Consider the following 14,382-nt stretch of genomic DNA (forward strand, 5'->3'; position numbering starts at 1 on the left):
GTCCTGAGCCCTTTATCCCCAACCTCCCGCCTGGAAGTCATTCCTCGTTCCCTTGTCTGAGTGGCCTGGAGCCGAGCTGTGTTTCTGGGTCCTTTGGCCAGGATCTAACTACAGTGGGCCAGCAGGAAGAGGCTGTGATATTTACATGGCCTCTATCTGTGTTTATGGTAAGCAGACACACCTGGCTTCATAGCACCGTTTTATGTGTGCACCTGCAAAGATGTTTACTTTTAAGAAAGAGAGACAGGAGAAGTGAAAGCAGGCGCAGGCATAGGATCTCTCCTGTCGGCTGTGGCCCAGTAGAGAGGTGTTATGCCTACAGTTGTCTAAGTGTCTAAGTGGATGGGAGTTCCCTGAGACCTCCCCCTCCCACCTCCCCCACCCAGGAGTTAAAAGAGCTTTGCTGCTTCACTGACTTTATTAACTTTGTGACCTTGGACAGGCCACTCCCTCTCTTTCATCCTCAGTGTTCTTATCAATAAAACGATGGGATTATGCAACAGTATCTCTGTTACACCTGAAAATGGAGCCAAGAGCTAAGGTTATAAAAGGAAGCAGCCCAGTTACTGATTAGACAGCACTTTTAGGCTGGGTGGAGCCACAGAACTCACACTGCAGGGAGGACAGAGGACCCACCATTGAGCTAGCGCCACTGCTGACAGCCTCGCTCCGTGGCAGAGTCTGGGGTGACCCCTGAGTCAATGCCCTCAGCCACCTTACCCCTTCTCATGGGAGTCTCTGTCTTCTGTTTCCCTGAATCCTTGCTCCCAGAATTCTGGAACCTAACCACACTGGGAGGCAGTAAACCAGGACCAGATTCTGGATCTGCCACCAAGTACTGGGTGACCTTGCAAAATCAGCATTCTTCCCTGCCTTCTTTATATAACACGGGTGATAGCACCAGCCAGTCTTGAATGAGTCACAGGACTGTCATGAAGATCCAGTAAGAAAATGGTTGTGAAATTACCCTGTGAATTGGATATACATCTAAACATGATAAATTATTATTTCATTACATTTCTTTTTTTCTTTGTTTCTTTCTTTCCTTTTTTTTTTTGAGATGAGGTTTTGCTGTCTCTGTCTCGCCCAGGCAGGAGGGCAGTGGCATGACTATGGCTCACTGCAGCCTCAGCCTCCCTGGGTTCAGATCATCCTCCTGCCTCAACCTCCCGAGTAGCCAGGACTACAGGTGCATGCTGCCATGTCTGGCTAGTTTTTTGTATTTCTGTCTTTCTTATCATTCACTGAGCCCTTTGAATTGGGTTTAGCCGTGTTGGCCATGCTGGTCTCGAACTCCTGGGCTCAAGTGATCTGTCCACCTTGGCCTTTCACAGTGCAAGTGTGAGCCACCATGCCTGGCCCTTTTGTTAAATATCTTTTTTTTTTTTTTTGAGACCGAGTCTCACTCTGTTGCCCAGGCTGGAGTGCAGTGGTGTGATCTCGGCTCACTGCAATCTCCGCCTCCCAGGTTCAAGCAACTCTTGTACTTCAGCCTCCCGAATAGCTGGGATAACAGGTGTCCGCCACCACACCTGGCTAATTTTTTATGTTTTTTGTAGAGATGGAGTTTCCCCATGTTGGCCAGGCTGGTCTCGAACTCCTGACCTAGGTGATCCACCCACCTTGGCCTCCAAAAATGCTGGGATTACAGGCATGAGCCACCGCGCCCAGCCACTTTTGTTACTTTTTTTTTTTTTGAAATGGAGTTTCGCTCTTGTTGCCCAGGCTGGAGTGTAATGGCACGATTTTGGCTCACCGCAACCTCTGCCTCCTGGGTTCAAGCGACTCTCCTGCCTCAGCCCCCCGAGTAGCTGGGATTACAGGCGTCCACGACCACGCCTGGCTAATTTTTTTTGTATTTTTAGTAGAGATGGGGTTTCACCACATTGGCCAGGCTGGTCTTGACCTCCTGACCTCAGGTGATCTGCCTGCCTCGGCCTCCCAAAGTGCTGGGATTACAGGCGTGAGCCACCACACCCGGCCTACATTTCTTATACATATATACACATACATGGTCTGTTCAGAGTGTAGCCGAAATCTGTGTTTTCTCATTCTTAAATATGATTAGACTACCAGAGGCCACCAGATGTCTAAAGAAAACCCAGCCTGAAAGGCGAAGTTCCAAAGATAACATAAAAATGTCTAGTTGCAGCTGGGTGCAGTGGTGCACCCTGTAGTCCCAGCTACTCAGGAGGCTGATGCAGGAGGATTGCTTGAGCCAAGAATTCAAGACCAGCCTGGGCAACATAGCAAGACCCTGTATCTTAAAAAAAAAAAAAAAAAAAGATTGCATTGCATCTATAGCTAATTTTGAGAATAGACACCTTAATATTGAATCATCTAATCCATGAACAGCGTATATTGCTCAACTAATTTAGGTCTTTTAGAATTTCTCCCAGCAGTATTTTACATCTTTCAGTGTACAGGTTTTGTGCATTTTTTGTCAGATTTACCTCTAAGTATTTCATATTTTTGAAGCTATTGTAAATGGTGTCTTTTAGTTTTAGTTTCCAGTTTTTCATTGCTGATATGCCAGTACAAAGACAGCTACGGGAGTGTTTCTAGCAGCTCTGTTTGTAATGGCCTGAAATTGGAGACACCCCAAATGTCCATCAATAGGTGAACAGGTAAACACATGTTGTGTGTCCAAACGATGGGATAAATGCAGCAACAACCAAAAGGTATGCACTGCTGGGCACACAGGAACCTGCGTGAGTCTCAGAGGAATCGTGCGGAGTGAAAGAAGCCAGATGGAAGAGTGCATACTGCAGAATTCCATTTACATAAAGCTCTGGGAAAAGCAGCCTGAAGCAGATGAGTGGTTTCTTGGGGACAGGAAATGGATTCAGGGAGGAACATGTGGGAGGGGCCAGGAGGAGATTTTGAAGGAGACGGACACGGGCATCATCTTAGCTGTGGATGGTTTCATGGGTGCATATGGATGCCCAAAATTGTACACTTAAATATATACACTTTATTTTATGCAATAATACCTCAATGAAGCTGCTTTTTAAATTTAATGGAAGGTTTGCAAGAGCAAGTCAAAGAAATTCCCAAAGTAGAACCAAACGCTGAAGAAACGCAAAATACGGGAGAGAAAAGATGACAGCTAGAGGCGTAGAGGATCCATTCTTATCCGTGATCTTCTGAAATGTCATCACAATACAATCTGTTTGGCTATATGTGCTGTTTCATTTGTCTTTCTCACCATTCACTGAGCCCTTTGAATTGGAAGATTTACAACTCTCTTCAGCTCTTGGAAACATCCTTTCAGTATTTCTTTGGTAATGGTCTCTTCTCTGCCAGGCTCAGAAAAGATTGGGCTCAAGTATTCTAGAAGACAGAGGTGAGACAAGAAAGGACATTGTTAGAAATACCCAAATCTCCACCTTGGCCCCAAGCAAAAAGACAAAGGCCCCAGCAGACTCCCACAGTGGATGGGAAAAATAGTCTGGAGAGATTGAATCAAAGAATATGTGGGCTTGAGAACCCCAGGTACAGAGGAAGGCTGTAGAGAGAGGTGAAAAGAAGGGGAATGAGTCTCTTCTCCTACGTGTTCCTGAATGCTAGTGGCTGGGTTTAAATCACTCCAGCCAGGAGATTAGAAAATTATTCTCTGGAGCAATGGAACCATCCACAGGAAGATGTATATAGTCTAACCATTGGGAGTGCCCAGAAAAAAAATCTGTTTAGCCACTCACTTGTGTCCCCGCCAGTGAAGCCAGTTGTGGCAAGGCATGCACACAGAGCTTCCAAACAGCCGCCAGGAGCTTGTTTCTAAATAAAAATAACCACCAAGGATCCCCCAGCATTTGAGGAAAGTCTTCAACATGGAAGAAAAAGTCAAAAACAGAGAAAAGATACTCAATGGAAATATAAAGATGAGAAGGTTTTGCATTCATGGAACAAATACAAGATGCCATGAAAGAGGAAAATTCAAAGAAACAGAAAGCTCTTAGAAATTAAAATTTTGATACCAAAAATGAAAAACTCAATTGAAAGGTTAAAAATAATGAGATGGATAATACAGAGAAAGGATAAATAGAGGATAAATATAATAAGGATTAAGGAATGGTAGACCAGAGGAAATGAAAGGGAGACATAATCTAAAAAATAAGACAGGAAAATCACTTTGGGAGGCTGAGATGGAAGGATAGCTTGAAGCCAGGAGTTCGAGATAAGCCTGGGCAACATAGTAAGACCTTGCCTCTACAAAAAATTAGAAAAAAATTAACTGGACACGGTGGTGTACAGCTATAGTCCTACCTACTCAGGAGGCTGATGTGGGAGGATTGCCTGAGCTCAGGAGTTCAAGATTACAGTGAGCTATGATCAGACCACTGCACTCCAGCCTGGGCAACACAGCAAGACCCTGTCTCAAGAAAACAAAAAGACCCAATTCAAAGCACATTCTCAAGGCTTTCAAAGAAAGACAATGAAGTCATAAGTAAAAGATAATGAGTTTATAACATTATCATATTTCTCAAAAGCAAATTAGAAGCTAAAAAACAGTGGAACCCTCAAAATTCTTTCTTTTTTTTTTGTTTTTGAGACAGAGTTTTACCCTGTCACCCAGGCCGGAGTTCAGTGGCGCAATCTCAGCTCACTGCAACCTCTGCCTCCTGAATTCAAGCGATTCTCCTGCCTCGGCCTCCCAAGTAGCTGGGATTACATGCACGTGCCACCGCGCCTGGCTAATTTTTGTATTGTTAGTAGAGACAGGGTATCACCATGTTGGCTGGGCTGGTCTCGAACTCCCGACCTCAGATGATCCACCTGCCTCGGCCTCCCAAAGTGCTGGGATTATAGGCGTGAGCCACTGCACCCAGCTTGAGCCCTCAAAATTCTAAGTGAAAATTATTTGAAACCTATAGTTCTATACCCAGCCAAAGTTCCATAAATGTGTGAGTGTAGAATTAAGGTATTTTCAGAAACATGCAAAGTATCAAAAAATATTCTTCTCAGAAAGTATATGTTCATCTCTTCTGGGTCTTTGTGGTTAGAAAAAAATTTTTAAAAAGTATGTGTTCCACCACAATGAAGTGTAAACCAAGAAAGATGAAGAAAATGATCCAGGAAATAGGAGTTTTAACGCAGAAGGAGATTAAGGAAAATCCCAGGGCAATGGTGAAGGAAGTTCCAGACAACTGCTATGAGAAAGGACAGGCGGCTCCAGGACTGTGGCCCTCAGGAAGAACATGAAATAAGTTATTTAACAGATGTTACATGTAGAAGATTGAGAAGAGTATTGCAGAGCTCTCAGATTGTATGTAAAGATTTGGGTACAAGTTAAAAAGAAACCCCAGTCAATGAAAATTCACAGCAGGAAAAACAAAGACATATACAAAGAAAGGAAATATAATAGTGAACAATATTTTCACAGGCTAATAATGAAAACCTAGAGTATGGATATAATTTTTTTTAAACTCTGGGCCTGTAACTATTGGGAGGATGGGGAGAGAAAGGGTGGAAGGACACTAAAATCCACATTGTCATAATAGAAAGTCAGCCGATGTCTAGATAGATGAATCAAGAGATTATGGCGTTGGCATATTATTTAGAAATATAGAGACAGACTCCAGAACAAGCATTTTGAACACATTTTAAGTGGCCGTCTGGGGTGTGTTTCTGTGTGTGATATTAGATCAAGTCACAAATATGGCCAATTAGGAAACTAAAATTGGAGTTACAAGTATCCTATCCCAGTAAGGCAGGAGTGAGGAGAATCTTTCATGCAGTGAGTTGATAATGGGTAAATGTGACAAACCAAGACATATCAGCTTAAATTTACACTGTCGAATTACGAGATCACCACCAGAAGAATGACATCAGGAAACTGTCAAAAGGGCCAACACCTGTGGGTGTGGGATGGGCTGTTGCTTTTGTTGTGAGCCGTATTGAGTGGGCGTGAGGTAGTTAAACTGAGAGTGCCACAGTGCCAGGCCATGGTGCATCCCCAGGATTCAGGGCGGGCAGACGGCATGTGCTATCGGCAGAAGCCTTCGCCGGTCCGTCACTGGGTGCAGCAGACACCCCACCTGCCCCTCCGTATTCTGGCCCCTCATCATGGATACCCTTGGCAGGGAGGAACCCGGGGAAGTTGCCATCCTGTCTTTTGGGCGTTTGGTTTGCTTGCTTTTCCCTCTGTTGGGGCTGCGCGTGGGTGTGGATTCCCACAGTGGGCCTCTCACTGTGCCTTGAGGTCCTGGACTGGGGCTCCCAAGGTTAAACACAGAGCAGTTTTTTCCATGACAGCACCACCTTTTTACTTTTGGCTGGTTCACCATTGGCAGGGCAAGGCCGCTGGGTAGGGTGTGCAGTTGAGTGCTGGCCACAGGCTCCTGGGCCAGGTGATGGGGGGATTGAATCTGGTAGGGGCTGTGTCCGAGGGAGCAGGGCCTGCTCCTAGAAGTCTGCACAGGGGTACCAGTTGCCAGTCATGGGCCTGGGCTGGGGCCACTCTCCGGGGCACCCACCTACGTCAAAGGTGATTCACTGAAGGGGAGACCTGGATGACCGGGTTCGACAGCCCTTCATTGCGTTTTAATTTAAATGAACAATTCGTAAGCAATGATCGCCTGGTGCTGTCCAGACCCTGAGATGCGTGGTTGGGAAGGCCGACCTCATGTTCCTCCCAGAGCATGCCCAGGGTTCATGTCCCGGGGTCTGCGCTCTGGGCAGTGGTCCCCATGCCTCTGGGGGAAGCCCCCTTCTTCTCACCCAAGCCCCTGCTTTCTTCTCCAAGCTGGACCTCACAAAATGTGAACATCTTCCCCAGCGGGGTGCAGGGGAAGAGCGGGTGAGAGGGTCTGAGTGGTGGCGCCTCTCTCCCTGCAGAAAGTGAATGGCTTGGAGGAAGGCGTGGAGTTCCTGCCAGTCAACAACGTCAAGAAGGTGGAAAAGCATGGCCCGGGGCGCTGGGTGGTGCTGGCAGCCGTGCTGATCGGCCTCCTCTTGGTCTTGCTGGGGATCGGCTTCCTGGTGTGGCATTTGCAGTGTGAGTAAAGCTGGGGCTGGCTCCGGGGAGGACGACAAGGGGTGGCTGTCCCTCTTCCCTCAGCGGACAGACCCAGGGCCACCTACTGAGTACACGAGGATCTCTTGGCCTCTCTGGAACCCTGATGGGGAGTGATGGGAAGCAGTCAGGGCTGACCCATGGCCCCCTCCTGGCATTCATTCCCCATTGTGGACGGCGAGGGACAGGCGGGGGTGGTACCACCTCCCCTGACTGAGCGCCTTCTGGTCTCACACAGACCGGGACGTGCGTGTCCAGAAGGTCTTCAATGGCTACATGAGGATCACAAATGAGAATTTTGTGGATGCCTACGAGAACTCCAACTCCACTGAGTTTGTAAGCCTGGCCAGCAAGGTGAAGGACGCGGTGAGTGCAGCCTGCCCAGAGTCCTGCTGGGCTGTGTGCGCTGGTGTCCCACCTGCTGGGCAGGAGGGACATGCCTCGCCTGTGCTCCCAGGGCCCTGGGATGGGGGTGATCTGCAAAGGGGACCCGGGCCCTGGAGGGGAGGGAGCAGCCCGGGCTTGGGGCAGGGTCATCGCCGCATGGGGCTCACCTTGAGTCTCTGCCCTTCCTCAGCTGAAGCTGCTGTACAGCGGAGTCCCATTCCTGGGCCCCTACCACAAGGAGTCGGCTGTGACGGCCTTCAGGTGGGTGTGGAGAGAAGGCTCAGTGGGATGCACCCCAGACTGGCTGGGAGTAGGATCGGGGTACAGTGTGTGGGGCAGGAAGCGGGAGATGGTGCTGGAGGTCCTGGCCTGGAGAGCCAAGGAGGGTCCTCGCTGTGTCCTCCTGTGCGTTACTTGGCAGCCTGACTCTTCTGCCCCCATGGCAAAGGTGCCTGTAGCTGTTGCTGTGATGAGCTGCCCAAAGGCCTGTGACGTGCTTGGCATGATGCCAGGAACGGCTGTGATTCTTTGTTGTTTTTCCAAATTTGGGTATGGGGGAGTTGGGGTACTCAGGCAGCCTTCAATGAGCCCCCACATTTTCTGTGCTTGAGCAGTTTTTCACGCATACTTTTGTAAAAAAATAGACTTTATTCTCAAAGTGCTTTTTATTTTGCTAGTTCGTTTGAACCCTGGGGAATGCTGTGTGGCAGGTGGCATTCCCAGTTCCTTTCTCAGGTCAGAAAACAGGCTCAGGAAGGTGACACTCGGTGTGTCCTCGCTTGTGGCCAAACTCCAATGGGTTTCCCCTCCTCATTCCTACCCCTGAGCAGCCCCCAGAATCGGTCTGGTTGGGGATGAGACTGTGAGAGCAGAGGGCAAAGGGCAAGGCCTCTTGCTTTGGGGTGGAAAGAGGGATGACACAAGAGGAGCTGGGGAAGGGCCTCTGCAGATGGCAGGCCCAGGTGTGCCCCGAGCCGCCCATGTGTCCTGGAGTCGCTCTGGGCGCACGTGGGGGAAATGGGGCCCAGAGCTCCGCCTCAGGCTCCCGCTCTCTCCCCAGCGAGGGCAGCGTCATCGCCTACTACTGGTCTGAGTTCAGCATCCCGCAGCACCTGGTGGAGGAGGCCGAGCGCGTCATGGCCGAGGAGCGCGTAGTCATGCTGCCCCCGCGGGCGCGCTCCCTGAAGTCCTTTGTGGTCACCTCAGTGGTGGCTTTCCGTGAGTCCGAGGGCCAGGGGTGGGCGTGGGACTGGCCAGCCTTCCATGGAGTGGGGCTGGGCCCTGGACCATTGCAGGGGACCGGCACTCCCAGGGCCCAGTGCCCCAGAGAGAAGACTACGTGCTGGCCGGGCACCTCCCTTTAGATAATAAGGAAGCAGGAATAAGGAAATGGATTGTATCAGGAAATGCTTTATTCTCCTTCTTATTCTTCAGCCACGGACTCCAAAACAGTACAGAGGACCCAGGACAGTAAGTATCGTGCCCGCCTCCTCTTCTGGGTGGGGAAGAGGCGGGATGTGGCCAGATGCCCTTGAGCCAGTGGGGTCCCCAGAAGCATGTCCCTCTGAATGAAGTATATTATGACGATCTTTCCAGGCCCTTCCTCTTCCAGGCCCTTCTGAGAAGCCCCCTTCCTGATTTCCCGAGGCCCAGGGCAGCCTGGGGCGTCTCGAAGGGGCGAGGCCTGAGGTCCACACCCACGGGGTCTCAGGGTCCTCCCCCAGCTCTGCCCAGCCCTGCCCCCACACGTGCCCTCCTTCTTGTCTCCTGCGCAGACAGCTGCAGCTTTGGCCTGCACGCCCGCGGTGTGGAGCTGATGCGCTTCACCACGCCCGGCTTCCCTGACAGCCCCTACCCCGCTCATGCCCGCTGCCAGTGGGCCCTGCGGGGGGACGCCGACTCAGTGCTGAGCCTCACCTTCCGCAGCTTTGACCTTGCGTCCTGCGACGAGCGCGGCAGCGACCTGGTGACGGTGTACAACACCCTGAGCCCCATGGAGCCCCACGCCCTGGTGCAGTGAGTACCCCGGGGGGCGGGTAGGGCTGTGGGAGCTTGGCGGCTGCCCTGTAGGGGGCCAGCTTCTTCAACGATTGGGATACAGTTTATGACTCTTGGCCGCAGGCCACTGCTAAACATCCAGGCAGCAGGAGGCACGTGTGGTGTGATCCTCAGCTGCAGCTCCAGGGGAGTCTGGGAGGTGATTTTTCTCAGCCTTGGCAAAGCAGAGGAAGGCTCTATAGTCCCCAGATACCAAATCCAGCCTGTGCGGCCTGTGCCCTGAACCGCCGGAGAGAAGGCACTGCCCACGGTTGTAAAATGTAGGCTTTATTATTCAGGGATATGAAGGCCAACAGATCAGGAGATGACTGCTCTTGAAAAGACAATTTTGTTGGCGGGCACGGTAGCTCATGCCTGTAATCTCAGCGCTTTGGGAGGCTGAGGCGGGAGGATCTCTTGAGGCCAGGAGTTTGAGACTAGCCTGGGCAACAAGACTCTGCCTCTATAAAAAATAAAAAGCTTAGCTGGGTGTGGTGGCGCATGCCTACTCAGGAGGCTGATGCAGGAGGATCTCCAGCCCAGGAGGTCGAGGCTGCAGTGAGCGGTGATTGCACCACTGCACTCCAGCCTGGGCAACAGAGAAAGAACCTGCCTCAGGCCACATGAGGAAACACCAGGTTGGTCAAGGGGTAACAGGAATGAGGGGAAAATGTAAGCAAGAGCCTTTTATGGGCCGGGCATGGTGGCTCACGCCTGTAAGCCCAGCACTTTGGGAGGCCAAGGCGGCTGGATCACTTGCGGTCAGGAGTTTGAGACCAGTCAAGCCAACCTGGTGAAACCCTGTCTCTACTAAAAATACAAAAATCAGCTGGGTGTGGTGGCGGGCGCCTGTAATCCCAGCTACTCGGGAGGCCAAGGCGGGAGAATCACTTGAACCTGGGAGGCAGAGGTTGCAGTGAGCCGAGATCGTACCACTACACTCCAGCCTGGGCAACAGAGCGAGACTCTGTCTCAAAAAAAAAAAAAAAAAAAAAGAGCCTTTATATGGTTTACACAGAAAAGGCAAGACAAATCAGGGTGAGAGGTTTAGAACTGGCTTGTTTGAATAATTTCAGTAGGCTCCGGGGCATAGGAGCTGTCCCTAGTTCTCTGATACTTGGGCCTGGGGTGGTTAGGGCAAAGAATAGTGGCCCTGAGTGTGAGATCCTTTCGGAGGAGGTGGGGCTGGGCCCCCATAGGTGGGTTTGCATAGGGAAGGTTTGCTTGCAGGTGAGTCCTTTCCTATCTCTAAGCATTGGCCAGCCTTCCACAGTCAGCAGGGCCTCAGATGTCAAAGCACCTGCATTACAGAAAACGGAAAGGCGTGGTTAATGCACCTGTGGGATACCCCACGTCAGGGTGGGGCGTACCTCGCAGAGGTGCTGTGCGTGGTGGGTGAGCCGCCTCTCCTGCACTCGCTGGGCCAGAGCCTTCCGTGGCTGTCTAGGGAAATGAGCTCGGCGGACGTTTCCTGATTAATAATGGGCTAAAATTCAGGCCAAGAACAACCTAGAACCATCTGCCGCCACAGCTTCGTAACCAGGACTTCTTTTCCATCTCTCTAATTTATTAATTGTACAACAAAGAAGTACATGTTCCCAGTGGGAGAAGGAAATCGGCAAGCAAAAGGAAGACTAAAGTCACTCGTCATCTTACTGTCTAGAAATAACCACTGTTAATTCTTTTTCTTTGAGATGGAATCTCGCTCTGTCGCCCAGGCTGGAGTGCAGTGGCAAGATCTCGGCTCACCGCAACCTCCGCCTCCTGGGTTCATGCGATTCTCCTGCTTCATCCTCTCGAGCAGCTGGGATTACAGGCATGCGCCACAACACTCAGCTAATTTTTTTTGTATTTTTAGTAGAGATGGGGTTTTACCATGTTGGTCAGGCTGGTCTCGAACTCCTGACCTCAGGCAATCTGCCTGCCTTGGCCTCCCAAAGTACTGGGATTACAGGCGTGAGCCACAGCACCCGGCCAAATTTTTGATGTCTATTTTCCCAGCCTTTTTTGCTGTGTGTGTGTTAAGAAATAGGATTATCCCGTGCATTCAGTCTCATTACCTGCTTTAACAAATGAAGTATATTATGATGGTCTTTCCAAATCAGTCACCCTCTCTCTCAGGGTTTTTATAAGGTTGCATTGTTTAGAAGGAGGGGACACAATCAGGATGACATGGTTGTGAGCAGTGTGGACTCTGGAGCTTGAATGCCTGAGTTTAAATTCTAAGCCTGCCACTTATTAACCATGAGATGTTGGGCAAGTTACTGAACATCTCTGTGTCTCAGTTTCCTCACCTCTGAGATAGGGGTAATAGTATCTACTTCATAGAGCTGTTAGGAAGATTATGAGTTAATAGATTTAAAAGCACCGAGAACCATGCCAGGCATGTTTTTTTTTTTGAGTCTCCTTGTCACCCAGGCTGGAGTGCAGTGGCGCAATCATAGCTCACTGTAACCTTGAACTCCTGAGGCTCAAGCAGTTCTCTGGCCTTGCCCCGGAGTAGCTGGGACTGCAGGCAAGCGCCACCATGCCCAGCTAGTTTTTTTGATTATGGAGATGAGGCGTTACCCAGGCTGGTCTGAAACTCCTGGCCTCAAGCAATTCTCCTGCCTTGACCTCCCAACAGGCTGGGATTATAGGCCCGACCTTGGCATGTTCTTAATAAATGTTGATTGTTACTACTGCTGTTGTTCTGATTGAGCCCACAGTTTATTTAATAAATCCTCTGTTGTGGGCATGTATTGTGTCTAGGGTGTTGCTCTTTTTTTTTTTTTCTGACAGTCTCGCTGTGTCGCCCAGGCTGGAGTGCGGTGGTGCGATCTCGGCTCACTGCAACCTCCGCCTCCCGGGTTCCGGTGATTCTCCTGCCTCAGCCTCTGGAGTAGCTGGGATTACAGGCGTGCACCGTGATGCCCAGCTAATTTTTGTATCTTTAGTAGAGATGGGATTTCACCATGTTGGCCAGGCCGGTCTCGAACTCCTGACCTCAGGTGATTCACCCGCCTTGGCCTCCCAAAGTGCTGGGTTTATAGGCGTGAGCCACTGCGCCCGGCTGGGTGTTGCTCTTTGATTGTGACAAAGGTGAACTGTTTATCACTAGCGCCTTCCATCAGTGATTGTGACAAAGGTGAACTGTTTATCACTAGCGCCTTCCATCAGTGATTGTGACAAAGGTGAACTGTTTATCACTAGCGCCTTCCATCAGTGATTGTGACAAAGGTGAACTGTTTATCACTAGCGCCTTCCATCAGTGATTGTGTGGGGGAGGGACTTACTTGAATGAAGGTCTTTTTGACTCCATTCTTGGCCTCTGTGGATGGGACCAGAGTTAGGGGTGGGGTCCTCAGGCACCTCTGCCTGAGAGCCTGGTTTGGGTGTGTGAGAAGCTTGGGTTCTGTCTGCTCTTCCTAATGCCCGCCCTCTGCCCCCACAGGTTGTGTGGCACCTACCCTCCCTCCTACAACCTGACCTTCCACTCCTCCCAGAACGTCCTGCTCATCACACTGATAACCAACACTGAGCGGCGGCATCCCGGCTTTGAGGCCACCTTCTTCCAGCTGCCTAGGATGAGCAGTAAGGAAGGGCAGGGCAGGGCGGGACTGCCCTCGGGCCACAGAGAAGGGGAAGGCCTTAGTGGGGGTGACCTGAGCTTAGGAGGCCACAGGCTAGACCCTGTGGTTGGCGAGCTGGCCTAGGTCAGCAGCAGAGGCTGAAGCTTGAGCCAAAGGCATCTGGCCGACCGCCTGGGTCAGGAGCCCTCCTGAAGCTTCGGCACCCGGCACCTGGCCTTCCTGGCTGTGCACCTGCTGTGCAGCATCCACGCGTCCAGGAGGCAGCTCCAGGCCTCAGGCTGCAGAGCCCTCGTCCGCCTGCTCGGCCGGGCAGGTTCCTGATCCTCTTGCTTTCTCCCACCTTCCCTCTCAGGCTGTGGAGGCCGCTTACGTAAAGCCCAGGGGACATTCAACAGCCCCTACTACCCAGGCCACTACCCACCCAACATTGACTGCACATGGAACATTGAGGTAGGAGCTATGGGGCGTGTGAACGTGTGTGTGTGTGAGCATGTATGTGCACGTGTGTGTGTCTCCCTGTGCAGATGTGTGTGGATGTGTGTGCATGTGTTTGCATATGTGTGCATGTGTGTGTGTGTGTGTGTGTGTGCGTATGTGTGTGTGTGAGACAGAGGTGGATGGCAAATGAGGAAGACAGAAGAAAAGGAAGAGGAGATCCTTTATCAACCCCAAAGAGGCAGCCAGATGTCGTGACTCACACCTGTAATCTCAGCACTTTGGGAGACCAAGGCAGGAGGATCACTTGAGGCCAGGAATTCAAGACCAGCCTGTGTAACATAGTGAGACCTCATCTCTACAAAACACTACAAAAATTAGCCAGGCAGGTGATACATGCCTGTAGTCCCAGCTACTCAGGAGGCCGAGGTGGGAGGATCACTTAAACCCAGGAGTTTAAGGCTACAGTAAACTATGACAGTGCCATCGCACTCCAGCCTGGGCAACAGTGAGACCCTGTCTCAAAAAACAACAAAAACAAATAAACAAACCCCAAAGAGACCATGTGTCTTAGGGCCCAGGGTGGGGTCAGGTCTTCCTGCAGTGTCAGGCAGACCCAGACTCTTATCTTAGCTCCTTGTCAGGTGATGGAACGACCTGGGCAGTTGCTGAAGCTCCCTGGGCCTCAGCTTGCCCCTAGGTGAAGTGAGGGTGATAGTGCCTGGGTCTCAGAGGCGCCGTCAGGAAGAAATCAAAGAAGGTGTGTGAGACAAGAGAGTCGCCTGTCCGTGCCGCTCACGCCATCCCAGCCAGAGCTGCCTCCCTTTCCTTTCTTTAAAAATGCCAGGAGGGCCGGGCGCAGTGGCTCACGCCTGTAATCCCAGAACTTTGGGAGGCCAAGGCAGGTGGATCACGAGGTCAGGAGTTCGAGACCAG

General features: G+C 50.9%; 1 protein-coding gene across 1 annotated transcript in view; it reads left to right on the plus strand.

Annotated features, from left to right (window-relative positions):
* ST14 (ST14 transmembrane serine protease matriptase) overlaps window positions 1-14,382 on the plus strand; it is a 50,581-nt gene that overhangs the window by 21,495 nt on the left and 14,704 nt on the right. Inside the window, exons 2-9 of the mRNA NM_021978.4 lie at window positions 6,838-6,997; window positions 7,254-7,381; window positions 7,593-7,663; window positions 8,463-8,620; window positions 8,837-8,872; window positions 9,178-9,418; window positions 12,873-13,012; window positions 13,364-13,461. Of these exons, the coding sequence (NP_068813.1) occupies window positions 6,838-6,997; window positions 7,254-7,381; window positions 7,593-7,663; window positions 8,463-8,620; window positions 8,837-8,872; window positions 9,178-9,418; window positions 12,873-13,012; window positions 13,364-13,461 (1,032 nt within the window). The remainder of the gene's footprint in view (window positions 1-6,837; window positions 6,998-7,253; window positions 7,382-7,592; window positions 7,664-8,462; window positions 8,621-8,836; window positions 8,873-9,177; window positions 9,419-12,872; window positions 13,013-13,363; window positions 13,462-14,382) is intronic.

The sequence above is a fragment of the Homo sapiens genome, chromosome 11 (assembly GCF_000001405.40).
Source record: "Homo sapiens chromosome 11, GRCh38.p14 Primary Assembly".
Classification (NCBI taxonomy): domain Eukaryota; kingdom Metazoa; phylum Chordata; class Mammalia; order Primates; family Hominidae; genus Homo; species Homo sapiens.